The following is a 23,049-nucleotide window of genomic DNA, read 5'->3' as shown; positions in this document are numbered from 1 at the left end:
TACTTTATAAAATTATACCATCTTTGGAATAGTGGAACAAATGACACTACTGCAAATGAGGTTAATATTTTTGGTAGAAAAAAACACATTTAAACCAAGTACTACAGACTATTGCTTTATATCATGATTTAAACACTTTTGATTTCCATTAAATCCAGAAGGAAGATTGTGAAATTAAGACCTTTTAATCTGGTAAGATGACTGAGGCTGCAAATTCATAAATGAAATCAATTTTATCTTTATAAAGTACTTTTTACATATATTAGTTCATTTGCCCTTCATAATCACCTTTTGTGTGGTAAGCAGAGTGGATATTTTTATTTCAATTTTTCAGATGAAAAATTAAGATGCCAATGTTAAGTAGCTGCCAACTCACACAGCAACCAGAACCAAAAATTTGAATTCTTGTCATCCATGACAGATGAAAATAAATTTTTTTTACAAAGTTCAGAATATCAGGAGGTGGGTACATGTTAAAATTGGAAAAAAACTGTTCACTTAAAATAAAGTACTATGTTTCCTAGATATAGAAATATAGTAAGAATAATCAAATGATTATCAAAAGACTGAACACTAGTTCTTTAATTATGACTAATATGCAATAGGTAGATAAATTCTCCTGTCTCAACGGGCAAGGTTTTCAATTAGTAAAGAGAAAAGGGCAGAATTAAAGATCCCCAAATCCTTCTACTTTGAGAATTCTGTGATCTGTGTGTGCATCACTCATTATCAAGAGCTGGCTGAAGCTGAAAACACCAGTTCTGGCTGTATCACATGCCAGGAAAGAAGGCAGTCACGGGTATATGATTAGTGAGTGAATGTCAGGACGGCTGAATGAATAGAAGTGTTAGAACAAGGTACCATTCCTCAGATTCACAGATGTATGAGTCTGTAATGTCCTAATTGGAGGGTAGATAGTAATTTCTATCTGATTCTCAAAGAAAATTATTGGTTGAAAAGAGTTAATAACTATTATTTAGATTAATAAATAAATCATGGTTGTTAGAGAAACCTGGGCAACCAGCTCTGGCCGTCTGACATTACTGTCATAAGAATAACTGTTTTTTCCATAGATTAATCCCCAATACTCTCTCCAAGATAGAAAGCTACACTGCATGGGCACCATTCTGATCCAGCATGGTCTTTGCCATCTTTCTTTTTCATAGAAGGGAGGTTAGTCCTGAAAGATTTTTTTCCTTTAAAATGAAAAATGAGAAATTTCAAGATACTGTCTTTCTAAATGAGAAACAGTGGCAAATTGTAGCATTTCCCACATATTCCCATTTGATGGAGGCAAGTGGAACTGTGCCAACATTTAACTCCCTAGAATATGAATCACGGCATTTCACACACTGCTTCCTCCCAACCAAGTGGCACTATTCCCTTTGGGCTGTCCAGTGAAAAGAGCATATGTGTGCATTATGCACTGAACTGTGTCCCCTAAAATTTACAGGTTAAGGTCCTAACTCCTAGTACCTCAGAATGGGACTGTATTTGGAGATAGGGTCTTTAAAGATGTAATTAAGTTAAAATGAGGTCATTAGAGTGGGTCATAATCTGATATGACTGGTGTCCTTAGAGGAAGAGGAGATGAGCACACATCAGACAAGGAAAAACCATGTGAAGACACAGGGAGAAGACGATCATCTGCAGACCAGAAAGAGTGGCTTCCATAAAGACTCAACCCAGCCGACACCTTCATCTCACACTCTCAGTGTCTAGAACTGTTAGGAAATAAATTTCTCTTGTTGAAGCCATTCAGTCTATCATTCTTTGTTATGGCAGCCCCAGAAAACCAAAACAGTGTGTCAGAGCCATGGACAATATAAGGCAACTGAACCTCTTCTCCAGTTCTTCCTTAAAATGTAGTTCAAGATGTATACCTCTACCATATTCTATAGGACTGAATGGAGTTCCTAAGTATTCTATGAATTTAGCAATTTTCCTGGGATGTAAAAGTTAAGTTACAGGTTTTGTAGTTAAAACACCTTTGACCAACTATTTTGGTGAATTTACTATGAAAAAGCATCTTCTGAGGATTCAAATTATTGAAGAGCAACTTAATGGTGGATTAAGGCTAATGGTAATATTTTACCCTAGGAGAACTTAAAATGTGCATTAAAATGAAATGTATTAAAAAATATCAGACAGAGATATCGCAAATCCCGTATTCATTATGGTAACTGAGACTCATGCTTCAGCAGGTTTCTTAAGAGCCCTCAAGCACACAGTGGCTGATTATTTAGAAAGACTTTGTTATGATATTTATGAACACTAAAAGATAAAATACTTCTCTAATTAAAAAAAATCGAGAGAGGAGGACAGGGAAAGTTTCATTAATTGGTACAAAAGTACATATAGGTAGGGGGAATAAGTTCTAGTGTTCTATAGCACTGTAGGGTGAATATAGTAAACAATAATTTATTTCACAGGTTCAAAAGATAGAACAGAGGATTCTGAATGTTTCCAACATAAAGAAGTAATAAATATTTCAGGTGATGGATATTTTAACTTCCCTGATTTGATCTTTACAAACTGTATACATGTATTGAAATATCACTGTGTACCTCATAAATATGTACAGTTATTACATGTAAACTAAAAGGAATAGAAAAAAAATCCAGATTTTTAGTCAGCTCATTGCTAAAGCTACTGTCATCATTATTTACTTCCTATACAGAACCAATCAGCTCCTGAATGTGTGCATTTATGAATGATCATCTATCTTATTTATCTCTAAATCAAAGGTTGGTAAATAGAAGTTTTCATGTAGCTAATTAATAGATAATAACTTTTTGGGCATGAGAGGCAAAACAACAGTTCTAGTTTTCTTTTCTTTTTTTTTTTTTGAGACAGAGTCTTGCACTGTCACCCAGACTGGAGTGGAGTGGCACGATCTCAGCTCACTGCAACCTTTGCCTCCTGAGTTCAAGAGATTCTCCTGCCTCAGCCTCCCAAGTAGCTGAGATTACAGGCACCTGCCACGATGCCTGGCTAATTTTTGTATTTTTAGTAGAGACAGGGTTTCACCACGTTGGTCAGGCTGGTCTCGAACTCCTAACCTCAGGTGATCCACCCACCTCGGCCACCCAAAGTGCTGGGATTACAGGCGGGAGCCACCGTGCCCAGCCCAGTTCTAGTTTTCTTATTTCATCTTTGCATACTTTAACCTCCCACCAGAACAATGAGTAATTCCTAATGTTTCAGAAATGTCAGCCCACAGCAGGTCTTTCTAGAACTGACTATTTCACAAATGTACTGTCGTATTCAAAAGGGCCAAATTAATGGCAAATGAGTTATGCTGGGAGTTGAGAGTGTGCTTTATGAACAGTGAGTACCTAATTAAATGACAGATATTAAAGTGTCCTGTAGCATAAATTATTTAAAACACCATATATATATATATTATATATATATACACACACACATAACCACTATGCAAATAAAGCAAATATTAAAAGACTACCTCGTTCATGGCCATTCAAATCACTCTTCAGTTGGATTACAAAGATTGTAGAGCAGATTATTATGAGCTAATAAATTACTGTAATTCATAACAATAAACAGAAGATTTTTTATTTTGAAAAAAGAAATACTGTGAGACATTATGAAACAAGAAGAAAGTAGGACTTAGCTATATTGTTTCCCCTAGCATTTTGGCAAAGAATACTATAAATTTGACAGTCTTTGTAAATTGAAGCAACATTTTAAAATGAAAGATGTACATTCTTTTCTGTTCTATTGTTTGTTAAGAAGCTCAATGATTTGTAAAATCATTCAGTTTCAACAACAAACATAAATATTTCCACTGGGAAAGTAATTTGAAAGCACTTATTAAAAAATTCACTTAAAAATCAGACATTTTCTATTAACATATTTCATTCAGTGATCGTATTTTAATGAGAAAAAATATAAACTTACGTGTCATAGACATTGAGCAACCAATTGAGACACATATCAACACAGAGTGGAACGTTGACCAGGTCCTTATGCATTTGCTCAAGTCCATCATAAGTTGTTGTCAGACAGTTGATGACATCTGGAACACTGAGGAGCTGGTCATTTTGGTTCAACTTGTGCTGTTTGAAAATTTCATTTGTTGTACTCAACTCTAAGAGATCCACTAACCAGGAGAGAAGAAGGAATGTTTACAGTCATTACATTACATTACATTACATAACAACATCACAACAAAGGCATTTCTAGTCTCAAGTATTTAGCTTGATTCTTCAATTTAAGAATCTATCCTTTTTAGCTAAATTTCAGCTTTTAAAGAAACAAACACATTTCTATTCTTACATTTTACCACACTTTCATACTTTTGAATCTGAACTCTGTTGCTTCCCAATCTTATCTCATTTTTTGCTCTTTGGAATATTAATTATTCCTACTTTCTTTTTCTGGCTTTCCCTTTGCCAGGCTCTTTTTGCTTTTAAATGTAGCAAGGCATAAATCTCTCAATCTACTCCAAATGGCAGCGCATCTCAAATATTACACTGCTCTCCTCATCTTAACTCCTGCAAGCAGCCTGTGCACTGCTCTCTTCATTCTTTGTATCACAGCCAAACTAATTGTTCTTAAACAGTCTTTTATCATGTACATCATTACATACAAAATTTACTGAAGATGCTCCATATTAAAAAACAGGTTTTATAGAAAAATAACAGCTCTCCACTGCCTGCTGAATCAAGCCCGATCTATAAGATTGTCACAAACTGGCCCTAACCTGGTTTACTTCCGATGATGCTCTGACACAGAGGTGACCTGTAGCTAAGAAGAAGTACTAGAGCAGTCAGTACTCTAGACACAGAGGTGACCTGTAGCTAAGAAGAAGTACTAGACAGCCCCCACATCCATTGGTCTTCACAAATTTGTTCCCATCCTTACTCTTCATGTGTACAACATCTATGGTAGGCATGGCTGGGGCTAGAGCCAGGAGGGTGTGCACAGGAGGTGAAGGCAGAGCCCCTGCTCTCAAAGACATACTGATGGCTTTACTAAAAGGAGGAGTAAACATGCCCTATGAGAGGAATACGCAAATTTCTGCTAGAGCTACTACTTCTAGGAGAGGAAAGACAACTGGAAAAGGCTCCCTGGAGAGGTGCGATTTGAAATGGGCTTTGAAAAATGGATAAAATACAAGAGATCCACATGAAGTGAGGAAAGAATTCCAGGTTTAGAGAAGTACTTGAGAAAAGGCAAGAATTCACTCAAGCCCAGAGGCTCTAAGGAATGGTGGACTGCAGTGTGGGTGATGCGTGACTTACACACGAGTGGTGTTTGCCGGCAGTGAAACAGACAGGAGAAATGCATGGTCCAGGCACACACTGCCCAAGGGGAGGCCCGCAAAGGCCCGAAGGAGGAGTTTAGATGAAAACGACAAATTTTTTTTTAATTTAATCAATTTTAAGTCTTTCATTCACTAACTGAAAACAAAGAGACAAAGCAGATTATCAAACTACCATGTATCTATCTATACATTTATTGAGTGTGGAGATGACTCTTCTAAATCTAAACATCTGAGTAAGGAAAATTAGAGTCCACATTAATTTAAGGTCTGCTCATAGACATCAGTTTTTATAAAATTCTTTCTCTGTCTCTGTATTTAACCTTTTAGCATAAAAAAATTAGACTAGAAGAACTCTAATCTTATTTTTTCTTATTTTTTAACTTTTTGGCATTAAAAAAATAAGAGGCAAAGAGAAAATAGTTGGTTATATATACACATATGTTATATATTTAACTTTTAGCATGAAAAATAAGAGGCAAAGAGAAAAAATAAGGTTATATACATATAAAACCAACTTCTTTCTCTTCGCCTGATGCAAAAACTGTTCTCTCAAAAAATATGACATATTTTGACAGTTAACTAAAATGAACAAATAGCTTCCTTTGTATTTATCCATTTGTAACCACTGAATAACTAATAATTTTGAATTTTTAAAGACATGTATGAAATGTGTCCATGCTAGCTGTCTGAGTAACACAGAATTATTTATTTTTTAAGTTATCTACAAATTAAAAGAACTGCTTTAAACCCATACAGAGTAAAATGATTTCAAAAACAACTCAACAGGGAAGACTTTTTTTTTTTTTAAAGAGATAAACATAAAACATACAAGTCTGGATAACGAACCAATCCATTTCCTTCAGATGCCAAATGTATCATTGGTAAACTTAAGCTAATAACAAAAATAAGTCAAATAAGCTTCATATGAGTTAGAGAAGGTGTCAGAAAAAAACTAAGAACCATCTGGAATTTTCACTGTAATTCTTACCTCATTTCTTTGCCCTGTACAGTTGACGCTTGAACAGCGCCAGTTTGAACTGTGAGGGTCCACCTACACGTGGAGTTTTTTCAATTAAAGTTAAGCACTGAACGTGCCTGCCTCTCTTTTCTCCTCTACCCTTTCTGCCTCTGTTACCCCTGAGACAGCAACACCAACTGCTCCTCTTCTTCCTCCCCCTCAGATTAATCAACATGAAGTCAACAAGGATGAAGACCCTTTATGATGATCACTTCCAATTAGTGAATATTAAATATATTTTGTCTTTTACTATTTTCTTAAAATTTTCTTTTCTCTAGCTTACTTTGTTGTAGAATAAGAGTATATATTACATAGCATATCAAATATGTGTTAATTGACTGTTAACATGTTAAGTTTTGGGTGTCAAGGGTCAACTGTACACAGTTTTCAATTGTAAACCTCTAGAGGGCAGAAGCAAAGTGCCTGACAAAGGAAAGTGTTTAATAAAGGGCAGTAGCTAGGGAACTACAGCTCCCCACAGACACCAAGGAACATATTCAAATATGGCCAAAAGGCTGTAAGTTTTCTGAATTCCAACATTAATTATGCCAGTAACACAGCACTGCTATTGGATCCCCACATGGCATCAGGTGACAACAGACCAAATTCCAAAAAGCCCATTTCCTGCATCAGGCTGTCCTTGCATTTCTTTCTGAAGTCTCCCTGGTTATACACTCTGTAGCTGTGACACTAATTTGCCACATCCCACAGACTATCATGTCTTCAATTTTTAGTGATTTACTCTGACACTTTGTCTTAGTGCCTAAGTCAAGCGTAAATCTTCCTGAAGTGTGTCACATTTAGGTACCTTTAAAGAACTGACTACATTTAAATCACAGAAAATTATGATTAAGATTTTCTCATTTCAAAGGGAGACAAATGACAGCTCAGTCATGTGGTAAATGAAACAAACAGCATAATCATTTTCTATCCAACTTTCTGACTTTTTCTTTAATCCCACATACAAGGCACAGGGGATGGAATAGAAATGCATCATCATTCTCCTGTTCTGCAAAACAATGAACACTGTTAAGCATCCAATCTTGGGCTTCAGTGACACTTCTCCAGGTGTCAAGCTATGTGGCCATTCTTTATTTTTTTATTTTATTATTATTATTATTATTATTATTAGCATTTCCCCTATCTTCTCTTCCCCAGAAATATAGGCAGAGCTCAAGGTTTCACATCTGGCATTTCATTCTGTGAGCCTGAGGCCCTCACTCACTCCTCTTACTTCTATTATTGCTTCTCTTTGGATGGCTCCAGATTCTCTTTTCTCCTGCTGATCTCCTGCCTCAACACTTGACCCATGTCCCATTGCTCTGATCCCTACAAGAGCTATATAATTCTCTTTCAGGAACCTCTCCCCATAAAGGCCTGGCCTTCTTGTCATGATGAAATCCAGTCTGCAAACCGTGAAATATCCTAACATCCTTCCTTCTTCTACCTGCCACAATTTACCAACTACCCAATACCCCGAGTCATCAGTTCTTCCTCAGGCAGCCTTAAAAATCCAGACCCTGATCTCCCCTCCTACAACTCCCAGCCAGCTCAGCTTTGATCATCCTTCACCTGAACTATTTACCCATTCTCTGTTCTCTGCCCTTTGGTCTTTCTTAGATATTCCCTAAAGCATACTTCCACTTCTGGCCCTATCTCTAAACTCCCACAATACAGAAAATGCCTCATGGCTCCCCATTCTATAACGAAAAATATCCAAACATGAAATACAACACAATAAGAACTTGAGGAAAAAAACCGAAAGGAATTTCAGGAAAAATATGACGTTCAAATTGACCTAAATTAACTTTAAGGAAATTTCTGGATATTGGACAAAATAGCTAAGCTATTCCATTCAGACTCTATAACTTAATGTTCCTTGAACACCATCTACACCTTAATTCTCACACAGATAACTCCTTCCCTTCTTATCCCCAATTAACTGCCCCATGCCTAAATCCCAGGTGCCTTTTATAGCCTGGCTCATATGCCCACTAATCAAGGAAGCCTGCCTTCTTCTTCATAATGAGAGGACTCTCCCCCTCCTCGGAACATACTTCCCTTTTGCTTTTCTGCTATTACCTATCACATAAAGTTTCAAAATCAAAATACAAAGGAAAACAGAAAATACATATGTGTGGTCTAAAAGAAAATAATAGAACAAATACCCATTAGTCCATCACACAGCTGAAAAAAACAGAATGTTACCACTATCTTGGAAGCTCCTTGAATCCTGCCTAATTACATCCTCTTACAATTATGGGGTAACCATTAACCTTTGTATTTCACTTTCAGTTTTTAAAAGTGTATATAGCATTAGTTTTGCATGGGTTTGAACTACATATAAATGGAACAGAGTGGTACACATTTTTTTTCTGCCATTTAATTTTTTCATTTAATTTTATAGTTCTAAGATTAAATCATGTTGATGCTGATTACTAGCTCATTGATTTTTGTTGCTGTATTATATTTATAAATATGCCAAAACTGAATGAGTTTTACTATGAAAAGTACTGCTATAAATCTCCTTGGACACATCTTCTGGAGTACTGCTATATAACCTTCAAACTCAAATCATTCACTCAGTGTGTCCTAAGCAACCCCTGCTCTGTGCCAGAAATTGTATGAGGTCCTAAGTAGAGACGAACACAGACTCATCCATCCCATGATGGAGAAGCAAACAATAACTAATAAACAGAATATTAAAAATTACCATTGACACTCTGCCTTAGTGCCTAAACCAAGCACCAGAAGTGTCATGTAAGGAAAAGAACAGTTCTATGAGGAGCCATAGAAAACCTCATTAAAAGAGAGGTGATCGACAACATTGAGACCTACAGGAATGAGTGTCCCAGCCAAGGGAAGAACAGAAGGATTAAGTTGGTGCAAAAGTAATTGAGGTTTTTGCCATTACTTTTAATGAAATACCCTAACTTACTTTTAACGGCAAAAACTGCAATTATTTTTGCATCAACCTATACAAAGAGCTAAGACAAGTGCTTTTTAGGCAGGAGGAATGGAATACAGAGTTTGCCATTTCTATCACTAAGTGGATGATGAAATGGTGATGCCCCGGTGGAGCAGAGGGAAGGAGGTGGACAGAGAGGTGAGCCAGGCAAAGACCATTCCATTCTGAGGGCAGCAGGAATCTTTTGTAAGCAGGGCATTGGGTCCATGTGCAACGTTCTCGAAATATGAGTTCCTTCAGTGTGAGAATCAAGTCTCTTTATAGTGTTTTATCTCCTGCACAATCTTGGAGCCCAACAAATGAATGAACAATGACACTGCCCTCTGCCTTATGCTGGGTGGAGATTTGCACATAATGAGAGACAGCCATGACCTAAAGTAGTTCACAGTGGAGATGGGGCAATCCACCAAACATTATTCGAGCACACAAAGGCAAGCACTTGTCACTAAGGTGAGAGAACCTGCTATTACAGGCAATCATAAACTACTGGGAAAAAATGTGGAGACGGGTAGGATTAGCTTGTAAATGTTTCCAAAAGAGGTAAATCTTTAACAGTATTTGGGAGGAAAAAAGGGTTACAAGCCAGTGCAGAGAAAGGGTCAGGGTATTTCTAGTAAACTGAAAGGAAGGGAGAGGAAGAAGCAGATTAATAATAAACTGATGAGCTCCAGGAGTGGCCCAGAGGCCTTGGCTGGAGGGCAGTGGGAGAAGGCTGTAGGAAAAGTGAAGGTCAGTTGGCTCTGAAAAAAGCACCTCATATACTTGAAATCCAATACAATCTAGCCCTTTTCTAACTGTCATTTAGTTGTTTAATTGTCATTACCAATCTCGTTTAGTTTAGAAGTTGGAGAAGCGTCCCTTCTGTTCCTCTCAGGTTTGAGGGGAAGAGCTGAGGAGGGGGTTTTTTTCTTCAGGAATCCAAAGAACCAAGAGAAGAAAACACCAAATGTGTTAATATGCTTATCCACCCATAAGTGTTGTCGAAAACTGGGACCATGTTCATAATGACAAAAAGCAGTCTTCTGTCAATGGAAATTTTGTGGCTGAGTCATTTGTCCTCATTTTATAGCTCATCAGGCCTGAGAAGAACTTCCAGACCCATCAACTGGATCCTGGATGTGCAGCTGAGCCTCTTTCAAAACTGCTGTCACCATGGACTCCTGCGCAGACCAAACATCCCTTTTGTGTGTTCGTAATTTACTTCCTATTCTCTTTTCGCTCAACATACTGATCAGTAGCCAGAGCGTGGTGGCTTTCTTTTCTTTGTCCGGGTAATTCTGCAACACTTGCTGCAACTACTACCACCTGCTAATTATCTTTGAGGCTCTGTGGATTATGCAAAAGTCAAGGTCATCTCATTCTTCCTTGCATTGCCTCATCTGGAGGTGTCTTTCAGCCCTGTAGACTTCTCTTCCATACATAGCTTAAGCTTTTCCTATTTTCAAGCTTTGCATTGCTATTTTTTCTCAATGACATTATACCTCTCTTTCCTCAATTCTTCGTGCAGCCAGCTTAAAATTTATTGCTAACTTCTATTGACTTTCAAGGAGCAGATTTTTCAACCTTAACATATCATTTTTCAAAGCATAATTTTCAAAGCATCACTGAACTGCCTAGACGTATATTAACAGTTAACAAAAGGTAGCAAAGAAGAATACTTGAAACTTTTCAATTTACCCTATCTTAAAAGAACAGGTAAATATCACTTTCCACATCAACTATCTGACAAGGCCTAGGGTAGACTCAATCATTAGAACTACAACCACAAATAGAATCCAGATAGCATAAATCTATATGCTAAGTATTCACACTGCTACTTAATTTTAGGTTATTTTGCGGGAGGAAATATCCTTTTGATGAAAGGACTGCCACAGAATTCCACTCTGAACACATCCTCCACAGGAAAAATGCATTGATAATACTAAATGTCTCAAGATATATTTAAAAGAAAATAGAGCCTTTTATCTCACTTGTTAAGGTGCCAGTTCAAATTTAGATCAGGAATGTGATTTTTTAGTGTTTCTTTATATATAGTGGTATTGAGACAAACTGGAACTCTACATTGCCAAATGGGCAAAAGGTACTGAAAACACATGACTTAATACTTTCTTTGATTTAATCCTTTTAAATTGGGTGGCAGCACAATTTTTGAAAAAGCTTTTTACATTACTCCTGTGTTTTGGTTAATTTTGTTCTCCAAGTAAGAATGGCATGTGTTCAGTACTGCACACTGATGGGGCAAGTAATAAAACATTTATAGAAACAAAACCAACTCCTTGAGTGAGGTACACTGAAGACCAGATTAACTTGGCAAACACTCCATCCTCTTCATTTATCTTCCTCTTGGAAAAAAAAAAAACGCAATTCAAGTAACAGATTGATTAACTTTGGTAGAATAACTCACAACATAGTGCTTTTTGTAGTCTTCGGATTTTGATTGCTGTACGGTAGGCAGAAAAACGTACATTATTCAGGTCAGCTGAAATAGAAAAAGAAACAATTTGAAGATAGGCTTATTATTGAATATATATTGAATGCCCAGAATGTATTTGGTTACTTTGGATGATGAAAAAATATTATGTTTGCCTGAAATAAAAAGTCTTCTCCCAAATTCCCCAACACGTATTTAAGAAAAAAGTTAAATGATCATTAGCACCATGTTGAGATACATCTCAAAGCAGTGCTACAGAGAAAATTCTAAGAAAGTATTTTCAACAGGTGTCAGGGCTCAGAACATGGTGGGTTGAGTACTTTGAAATGAAGGAGACTGGAAGGCCTCAGTAGTAAGGTCTCTCTGACCTCTGGGTCTCTTGTCTCCTGACCCTCTTTCTCCTTCCAAAGTGATAAATAGAAACCAGAATTCCCCTTCCCCAAGGTGGGTCATGAAAACTAGAACTTCTCTTCCCCAAAGCAAGCCATAAAATCTAGCAAGTTCACTGTCACCTTCTCCCTTCTCTCCTGAAGATTCTCCTGTGACAGGTATCCTGTCCCTAGAGGAAAGGAATATGCTGCAGGGAGAAGCCAAGAAGAATCTGAATAGATAGGCCTTGCTGGAATTCCCTTCTCAGTCTATTATCATTAAATTATACCCTTTCATCCAATCACAATTCAATGCAGTCATCCATTCCTCACTCAATCTAAGTGTAAAAACAGACACTTTTCCCTGTTTTCTTTGAGTCTTCTGAAGGTTCTCATGTCAGGTAAAACTTTGATTAAGTAAATTTCTTGTGCTTTTCTGGTTGACCTGTCTTTTGTTATAGGAGGGTCACCATGACCCTTATGATGGGTGAGAAAAGGTACCACCCCTTTCAGCCCTTTGGTAGGAAAAAGAGGAAGGTGATGAAGAGAAAGCACAGCTGTCACATGGCTTATTAAATGCACTGCACAGTAGGCAGAGGGCCCTTCCTTTTTTTCCCAATAAAGGAGATTTTCCTCCAGGGGCATCTTCCCCAAGGACACTTCATTTTCTTCCAACCACACTGTCCAGTTCACTATTCATGGAGCTCATCTTATTTCTATGCTCCTCCCATCCTGATTGATTTGGTTTTCCTGCCCTTTTGCAGATCTGGTTCAAATGATCCTACAACCAATACTCAACTCTTTGGAAACAATAGATATTGTAATTTCTTTCTTTGTCCCCTAAAGACAGAGTATCAGAGATTAGTAGAGTTAAAAGAAAACTCAGATATCATCAAAATTTGCCCCCTCATTTTACAAACTAAGCAAACCAGTTCTATGTCTTTTGTTTGTCCAACTTTTGCAGGCCCCTTCACCCACCAAAAAAAAAAACACTCACACAGAAGCCCAACATTTAAAGAGATTAAAAAAGGGGGCATCCTTTTTATTGAAATGGGAGAGGGAGGCTTCGGGTGCTGTTTTTCCCTCCAGCATCTCCTTAGCTACCCAAAGAGAAAACTTAAAAAAACCGCTGGACCAACCAGAGGAAGTAGGTTAAACAATAAGTTGAAAGCCACATTGCACTAGAAATTAAAACAAAACCGGAATTCTCGTCTGTGTTTTCTTGCATTTTTATATAAAAATGAATTTAGCTTTTAACAATTTAGACAAATTTAAACTAGGTGAGCTAATTTGATGGCACGTACTAAATAAAAAGTGAGCCAAAAGCAAATTTAAGGCAGTGGATTAAAGTTGGCTATATTGTAATTGTATATCTATATATATTTTTTGCGTGCAAAGCTGAAGGTTAAGATGACTCAATACGAAGGAGGTAAAAACTACAATTACATTCCTCCCTGTAAATCAACTCTTTTTGGCTCACATGATTTCAAACCACACAATTCTCCTAAGAAAGGCAATACCTGTTTACTGCATTGCCCTTAGAAATTTAACTACTTTTAAATGTCAATGACATGATTCTTTTAACATTAATATGCCATGTAAGAAAGGCTGGTGATTAGCTCCTATTTAACAATATACAGTTCTCGGCCGGGCACAGTGGCTCACGGGAGCACTTTGGGAGGCCGAGGCGGGTGGATTGCCTGAGCTCAGGAGTTCGAGACCAGCCTGGGCAACACAGTAAAACCCTGTCTCTATTAAAATACGAAAAATTAGCTGGGAGTGGCGGCGGGCGCCTGTAGTCCCAGCTACTCAGGAGCCTAAGGCAGGAGAATTGCTTGAATCCGGGAGGCAGAGGTTGCAGTGAGCCGAGATCATGCCACTGCACTCCAGCCTGGGCAACAGCGAGAATCCACCTTAAAAAAAAAAAAAAAAAAAAAAAAAAAAAAAAAAAAACCGGTTCTCAGTTGTTTAGGTTAATTTATTACTATTAATAACACTTACCAAGGGATTGAAAGAGTTCGGTCATTTTAGGATGGTCCCAACAGGTGGTCTGTGTTTGATGGCTGGAAAAAAAAGGTAAAATTTTAAAAATAAACAAAAAATCAAAAAACTTCATATAGGCCAAAAACGAAATACCCAAGTAGAAATGATTTTTTTCAAATTTTTAAAAATACATGCAAAATTATCCTCATTATCAACCATTCAGAAACCCAATGCCCAATTGTTACTTAACATTTGAAACATTGGCCAGGGGCAGTGGCTCTTCCTGTAATCCCAGCACTTTGGGAGGCCGAGGCAGGTGGATCACTTGAGGTCAGGAGATTGAGACAAGCCTGGCCAATATGATGAAATCCCATCGCTACTAAAAATACAAAAATTAGCCAGGTATGGTGGTGGGTGCCTGTAGTCCTAGCTACTCAGGAGGGTGAGGCATGAGAATTGCTTGAAGCTGGGAGGTGGAGGTTGCAGTGAGCCGAGATCGTTTCACTGCACTGTAGCCTGGGTGACAGAGTGAGACACTGTCTCAAAAAAATAAAAAATATTAATAATAAATTTTAGCCAGGTGTGGTGCCTCACATCTATAATCCCAACACTTTGGGAGCCTGAGGTGGGAGCCCAGGAGTTTGAGACCAGCTTGGCAACATAGCGAGACCTCATCTCTATACAAAAGTTTTTTATAAAAATTTTTTAATAATAAATTTCATTTGAGCAACTACATTGTAAAAACACAAATGAAATCTTTGCTTTGCCTATTTCAAACAGAACTGAAACTACAAATTAAAACCTAGATATAAAATGTGACTGTCATGAACCCTTCGGTCCTGGCTTGATGTGGCCAGATCAATGCAGGCTCCAGAATAAACCCATATCTGTTAAACAGATGTAGATTATCATTCAGAACGAATCCTCCAACAGCAGAAGTAGTGCTGTGGGAGTCACTACACCTTAAAAGTCTCGTCATATTTCCAAAGATTGCAGAAACAAGTTTAACTCTGAATAACATCATCCCACAATCTACAGAGCCTCCCTCCTCTTCTACCTTGAGTCGAACTTTCCTCAGTGCAAATCTACCCTTTCTTCTCTTCATGTGTATCTGGATTCCCCACTCCCCTCAGGCAAGTGTCTCTTGCCACTTAGACTCTGTGTTCCTCTTCTCAGCTTCCTCTCATTAACCAGTATTATTATTTTCTATATGTATTAAATTGTTTTCCTCATGTTCTTCACTTTAAAAGCAAGTTTTATACTTTCTCTTTTTCTGTAAATTTCAAAACTAATTCATATGTTAGATGGAAGTTTTGGGGTAATAAATTGAGGTTAAAACATAAATGGAATGCTTCAATTAAGTTTCTTAGGTAAACAGTTCATGACTTTGGTGGGTCAGTGGCCTTACATTTAAAAAGAGTTAACTGCCCCTTATCTAGGTCAGGGTAGATTCATAACATTTAATAGTGCTCCAAAGACTTCTTAAATGACACCTAGTTCTTATAAAACTATTTAGTAAACTAAATGAACCAGCATAGTACCTAAGAGAGTGATATTACAACATTCATAAAATCAAATTCAAGAGAAATTATTTTTCAAGCCTATGTAATATATCAAAAACTGGGGCATGTCACTGGGAAAAGAATATCATCACTGTTATATATACACAGGTAACAAAAACCCCAAATAACTCATACTTACCTTTGAAAAATATTTAAAGTGTGTATTTGCAGTTGGGTACGTATCCCGGAAATATTAGCAATTGGGTATGTATCCTGGAAATTCCAAGATCTCAAACAAAATAATGTAACTACAATGTGAAGATCTGTCTTGGAAAGAGATGGAAAGTTGTCGGGCTCCTCTACCCAGATTCTTGACTCCAATGCAGAGACAAATACTTCTACTTCATGGTCCACTACTGAACACCAACAAAACCATTCCACCCTTTCGGTTTGATGGTAGTGATACTACAAATTGCTCAAAAGACCATGGAGCCGGGTACTGAAGTTGTTTGACCTAAATTCTTACTATTCATCATTAGGCTCAGAGCTTTACAGAAATGCAGAGTCTCAAAAAGAATTTCCTCCCTATTACCAACAAATATGGAAGGATTTGCTGAGGAGGTAATGCAATTCCAGTAAGGCATCATGGGCTCCCAGTCTGAGAGAACCTACTAGGGTTCATTGATCTCTTGTCTTCTCTTTCAGGGAATTTCAATCCCCACGACAACAGTACTGTCCAGAGACAGACATCCCATCATGATGGAGCAAACCAAGGCTCAAGAACCAAACTAAAGCCATCGGTAATGTAGAGCCAGACGTTATACTTAAACAACAAATATGCTTTCTCTGGAATTACAGGTGTGGGTCTTCACCTCACACAACCCCTACGGAATCACAAGAGGAAAATACCACTATTTCTCAGTCAGGCGGAGGACTAAGAATTCAAGGTGAACACCTCTTGCTAATGGCTCTTTTTAGTGAAACCACTACTGAGAGCTGACGGAACACACACATTTGGCAAACAGATGGAGGGAGGGAACGGGCATCTCCCTTTGTGAATTCAATACCAGTTGATTCATTAGGCAGAACTGCCAACACAGAAAATAAATACAGCCTCTGGTTACAAAAGTATAACTGCTGCTTACCAAACAACAGAAATAAAAAAAACAGGCAATGCAGTTGGCTGCTGTTTTTTTTTTAAGTCGGGGGAGAGGGTTAAAGCAAAATCCACAATGAACCCAAAGGCTTAAAGTATTTGAACAGCTGCAGATAGCTCAGCTCCTCTTGCCAAAATGCCTGAAGTTCTCCCAGAGTAGGCAACCAAAACAGAATAAAAGTAGCATTTTCCCCCAAAATAACAACAGCTTGGGTTCTAATTAATCTCAAATATGAACAGGGAGTGGGACTTCATATTGTGCAGCTTGATAAGCTCTAAAATAAAATTATGATTTTATTACTAAAAATCCTCTCTTTAAAAGGCAACAGCCATGGGAATCTATCCAAGAATAAAATTAAAAAAAAAAAAACAAAACAAAACAAAAAACAAAGTAGCAATTAACAGTTAAGTACAAAATCATATGAAGCAAACAATAGTGAGAACATGTGACATGTAACTAGGCTGGCCAGCCATCCAGTTTTGCCTGTGCAGGGAAAAATTGTGAAGGTCTTTGTTGTGGGCAAAAAATGAGTGGGTATCCTGCAAAGCTTAAATTATCTCTGAGCTATTTTAAACTCTGCAAACTGAAGAAAACAGATAGTAATGCAAATGATTTCTGTCCATATAAATGCAAATTGTGCCCAGTGGAATGCAATTGATTATTGTCCTGTGGATATTGACCAGTTTGTCAGCTTTGCATCCAGAGGTAAATTCATTTTAGCATCCCTAATCTCACTATAAATATGTGACATTTTGTATTCTCTTTGGAACCTATTATAACTTCTTACTGGTTCCCTTACTATGAGTTAAATGAAACATGCTCTTTTTGTATTTGTATAAGAGTTAAGATTTTTGCCTATTTTGAAAACTATCCTTCAAGCAGTATAAATCCTGCTTTATACTAGACTGTATACAGGAATTACATATCAGCATCCTGGTATAATTATTAAAAGTGCCCCCTTACTCTGAAGAGCCCCAGCTGGGATAACATATAATCTCTGCATTTTATGGACATTATTAAAATATTAAGCCAATAAGGTTAAGAAGTAGTATATCCTTCCACCTATCTATTATTATTCATAACAATATAACACTGATAAGCCACAGAAAGTAAAACACAAATAATATAAGACTGTAGCACCAACAAATAAAACAAAAAAAGTTGTGCTGCAATACTGCCTAACATGTAACACAATGAACCAACAGCAAAGGACATGCACTTTTGATAGGCTGGTAAAATCTTGATTTCTGGGCAAATGACTGCTCTGTGGAAGATACTTCTTAAACCCATTTGTCCTCATTAGAGTGGTCTCATATTTTTCCATGAAACCTTAAAGGATGATCAGAAGGCAACTTGTTTCTCCAAAAACTAACACTTACCCAAATATACTTATTTGTTACTAGCTATCCAATTTTATGCTTATAACTGGATTTTGTGAGGTTTGTTATATATCATTCCATTCCAATTATAATTATAAAGGCATATAACAGAACAAAACTAAAGATAAGTAAAAATACAAATGTGGGGACAAGAACTATGTATATTGCTCTGAGATAAGACAATCAAAGAAAAAAATATTTCTTCTTTGCTGTGCAAAGTAAAATATACTAGGTCAGGATGTATATTAATCACAGTAATAACATGCTATTTGAGTGCTCGATTTGTACCAAGTAAACTTTTTTGGATAAACTTTTTCTATGTGTAAATTCTATTTGGATTACAATTCTATGACTTGGGTGACAATATTGTCTCCATCTTACAGATGGAAAAAACTAGGGCAGAGAGTGCTTAGATAGCTTGTCTGAGGTCCTATAGTAAGTAATAGAAATGGGATTTAAACAGAGATAGTCTCATTTTAAGCTAAGCTCTTGATATGGAAGTATATTTGCATAATTAAGGTTTTAAAATATTTCTTGATGAATCTGTCCAAATTTGAGTCCATGGTCTATCATTAGAATCATTACAAATAACCTCATCTCCCTTGCTTCTCTCTCACCCCTTGCAAATCCCAGGCCTGGATCAGCTCAATTACTTGCCTACTCTGGACCTGAGCAGCTGTGGATAAAAACAACTGGAGAAAATCACTCAACAGACAGACTCAATTTACTTTAAAATATGTGATTTCAAACCTCAAATGTCCAACTCCTGGCAACTGCACTATATTCCCTAATAAACTTGCTTTCCCAAACTCCAAAACAGAAATTCACTACTGCTATCTCTCTCCCCAAACTGGTTTATTTCTCTGCCTTAATATCATTTTACTTTATCTCACGCTTCATTGAAAACCTAAATACTACTAGATGAGGACTCCTTTCTCTCTCCACCACCAACTCAGGAAACTTCCCTCCAACTGCCAGTCTGTTATCCTATCTCCCCTTTAACTGAGAAATTGTCCCCCTTCTTATTAAAGGCCAATTCTTCCCAATGATTTCTTAAAAATTTCCTGTGCTGCACTGTCAACCCCTCTCTCAAGAAGACTATCCTTTGTAGAATATAAATGTTTACAGACGTGCCATCCTTAAACACACACACACACACACCCCTACCTCAAATCTACATTTTCTGCTAGTTATCACCTTTTTTCTCTCCTTCACAGGCAAAATTCACCAATGAGTACTGTACCATATCTACTTCCTCGTGTCCCATTCACCACTCCAGCCACTTCTGTTTGGCTTCCAACTTTTCTCCTGCACTCAAACTGGTCCTATAATTATTAGCAATGAACTCCATGGTGCCAAGTGGAGTGGCCATGCCTCAGGATGGGGAAAAATAAGAGACGACAAACACTGTAAGTAAGTTATACAGTGTATTAGAAGGTGGGAGGTACTATGAGAAAACCAGAAGTCTCCAGAAAAGGAAGTTGACACAGGCAAAATACAGGTTCTGTTAACATTTACTTTATGTACACTTATAGAAGTTACATATATATAGCAATCAAGCACGAGCTCCCAACTAATCGATTTTGCATTCAACTGCCTAAAGTATGAAGAGTGAAAACAAATGTTGGCAATCTGATATGACAACATTTATTTGAGTAACACCTTCTTAAAGATCTGAGAGGTGGTGTACTTACTTTGGAATTTATAATCTTTTCAGTCCTTGTTTCACCCAAGACTAGAATATAGGAAGAATGTGGAGTACCCCCATCAGTAACATTGATTCTCACTCTGTGCACGTGCTTGTGTGTGTGTGGGTGTGGGTGTGGGTGTGTGTGTGTCTGTGTGGAAAAGCCCCTGGGGAGAGGATGGAGGTAGTGGGTGAGAAAGCTGCAGGAATAACTTATATATTCCTCAGGTTATATTCAACTTCCTCATCCACTCGCAAACACTGTCTACTGTCCTCTAAGCTTTTAAAGGCAGGAAATCCAAAGATATACTTTTAGAAACAAAAATTAACTTAAGAGAAAAGAAGCGTGGAGGTCAGAATTTCAAGAAAAAAAAAATTCTGTCCAAAATTCAAATAAGATATATGATCCTATTTGATAATAGGTACTGCAAAAGTTTAGAGTCTTCCTTAAAAAATGCCATTAGTATCTCATGATAATGAAGACAGGAGGCAGGAAGACAACATTGTAAATAATGAATAATTCCGTAGGATTTGACTATAAAATGCATTTAAGCTGGGCACAGTGGCTCATGTCTGTAATCCCAGCATTTGGGGAGGCCAAAGCAGGAGGACTGCTTCAGGTCAGGAGTTTGAGACCAGCCTGGGCAACATAGCAAGACTCCATCTCTAAAAAAAGTCCAATTAGCTGGGCATGGTGGCATGTACCTGTAGTCCCAGCTACTCAGGAGGCTGAGGCAGGAGGTTCACTTGAGGCCAGGAGTATAAGACTGCAATGAGCCATGGTTGCACCACTGCACTCTGGCCTGGGCAACAGAGTGAGACCCTGTCTCTGAAACAAAATACACTTAAAGTAATTTCACACTCAAGAGTAGATTTAAAGATACAAACATGGAAAGGACTATATAGAAATAGGCTACCATACCATACACCCCAAAATATAAGATGTCAATATTGCATGTATGACTACTAGAACATTTGTTACAAAACAATAAGACAAAGTTTATTTGTGTTTGTTTTTAAATAAAGTAGTAGAATTAATGATCAAAACTGATGTGTCTACGTGCGAGGGGAGGGACAGGTGATAATTGTCTTGAGGGTACTAAATTGCTTGGAAATATAAACATGCAAATACTCAGTAAACCCAGGGGATCTGCTAGCTTGATAATATTTCTACATGAGCCCAGAATTCATAGGGAACCCCACCTCCCACCCAACCCTACCCTCATCTCCGTGACTCTCAAACTGGGGAGATTCAGACCATCAGCCAAATTCCTGTAGGTCATTTGTTGTTGCATTGGCCCTGGGGAGCCTTGTATGCCCCCATCTGAAGGTGTTAACACCAGGACTATGTTCCCACAACAGTTGAGGGGATCATTGTATCCTTTAAGTTTGCTTTTAAAAGCTGGATTTGTAGCTTTTAGCTTTTTATTAAAAAAAATTACTACTTTATCTCTTTCTTTTATGTATTTTTAAAAGAAGGGATTAATTACTTCTATTTTTTTCTATATGGTTATATGAAATCTTTTACTGTATTATTTTACTTTATAATCAGCATATTTCTATTTATTTTACAATTTTAAACATTATTACTTCTGTACTTTTGCTAATTGCAATGGCAGTTTTAAAAATTTAATCTTTATAAAGTATAGATATCTTTTTTCCTCTCTAAATGGCCCCACAGTGATCCTTCCTACATTGTATGGTAGAACTTTACTAACTGCATCCCTTACCCTAAAAATCAAATTGCCCAGTAAGGCTGATGGTGTCACTATAATGCAATAGAGTTGGGTAATCTAGAAGATTCCAAGCCAAAATACTACTTCATGGCCCAACAATATGTAGACTAATGGCAGTGAAGGTGATATTTTAAGTCCTTAACTACCTAATGTCTCTCAAAGACAATATCAATTCCACCTAAATTACCTCAATTAACTAGGACACCAGTAATACATAAGATTTCTTCCCAGTGACGGTTTGCTGGCTGCTGCAGGGCAGGCTTTCTACTGTTTAGATTTTTAGTTAGCCAAGGTATGCTTATGCTCATTTATCTGAAGCCCCTCCAAGCCCAGGGGTTTAGTGATCCTAAGGTACTTACATTCTTTCATAAAGCAATTTTGTTCTTACCTCCCCATCAGCAGACTTGGCCCAGTGAGTTTTAAATATTTATTTTCAGTAAAAACAGAGTCACAGACTACTAGAAAGACAGACTCTCCAGTACATTTTGCTTATGCTTCTATTTCATTTACTTCTTTATCATTAAAACCAAAACCACAAGCTCCAGTTCTTGAAAGAGATTCAAAGTGCGGCCCAAGAGTTCTTTACTTAAAAAACTGGAACCAAAAAGATACCATCCCTCATCTTCACGAAAGAGGGAAGGGAGAAATAAAGACTGCTGTAGGGACCCTTTTGGAGAGAGCTATGTTTATTTTTCATTGTTAATTATACCTTTGTTACGGGTTTATTCTGTTCTGGGATAAGTTTTCTATAACCGTTAATGATAAAATGCTTTATGTTAATTCTTCGTTGTTGCTGTTACACACACTTTGTTAGCTTTCATTTTCCTGTTAGGCTGAGTATTTGGAGATTGCCTTGCTGATACTCCTCTCTGACCATATTTAGGGAAGGACTATTTCTTCTGTATTGCCTAAGCTGGCGCACAATTCTTCTAAAGAAGTATGCATGAATTCTCTCCTCTAGACGGTATATGTAGTTCTGCCAAGACAAGTATATACAATCTATGCAAATGAACTGTATGACTGCGATAAAGATCAACTACTCGCTCCCCAAGATTTTACAACTATTACAAATTTCAATTCCTTTCAGTTACTGAAGGATTAGGGCAGGTAGAGGGTGGCCTTGGGAAATGAGAGTAGGTCTAAAAGAGCTTTGCAGGATTATCAATAATGGGCACAAGAATGGAAAATAAAAGTATAAAGAGAGATGTAACAAATTGAGGATAATCTTCATTTGGATCCACTCAGAGGGGGAGTTAGAACAAGGGAAAGAAATGTAAGACAGCAAATTTTATAGATATAGACAAGTTTATGCTGGTTAATTTCTTGCAATATTGAGGAATGTCAGTTTTAGAAAATGTGACATGCATGGTATATATAACCAGAGATTACTAATATGTACATAATGAAAGCTGTGTGTTGTGTGATATTGTACATTGTATTTAGGGTTCTATGAAGAATTAACATCTGCACTGCAGACTCCAGTGGGAAAAACTGAGCTATAGAATTGTTAAATTGTGATGGTGACACCTT

General features: G+C 37.3%; 1 protein-coding gene across 2 annotated transcripts in view; it reads right to left on the bottom strand.

Moving 5' to 3' along the window:
• The window catches only part of UTRN (utrophin), a 567,700-nt gene that overhangs the window by 66,990 nt on the left and 477,661 nt on the right, over nt 1-23,049 (bottom strand). For both annotated transcript variants that reach the window (NM_007124.3, NM_001375323.1), the window contains 3 exons: nt 14,077-14,138; nt 11,681-11,755; nt 3,922-4,123 (listed from right to left, as the gene is read on the bottom strand). In NM_007124.3, the coding sequence (NP_009055.2) occupies nt 3,922-4,123; nt 11,681-11,755; nt 14,077-14,138 (339 nt within the window). The remainder of the gene's footprint in view (nt 1-3,921; nt 4,124-11,680; nt 11,756-14,076; nt 14,139-23,049) is intronic.

Source organism: Homo sapiens, chromosome 6 (genome assembly GCF_000001405.40).
Source record: "Homo sapiens chromosome 6, GRCh38.p14 Primary Assembly".
Classification (NCBI taxonomy): domain Eukaryota; kingdom Metazoa; phylum Chordata; class Mammalia; order Primates; family Hominidae; genus Homo; species Homo sapiens.
The sequence above is the reverse complement of the archived record's forward strand: the minus strand, read 5'-3'. Positions and strand labels throughout refer to the sequence as shown.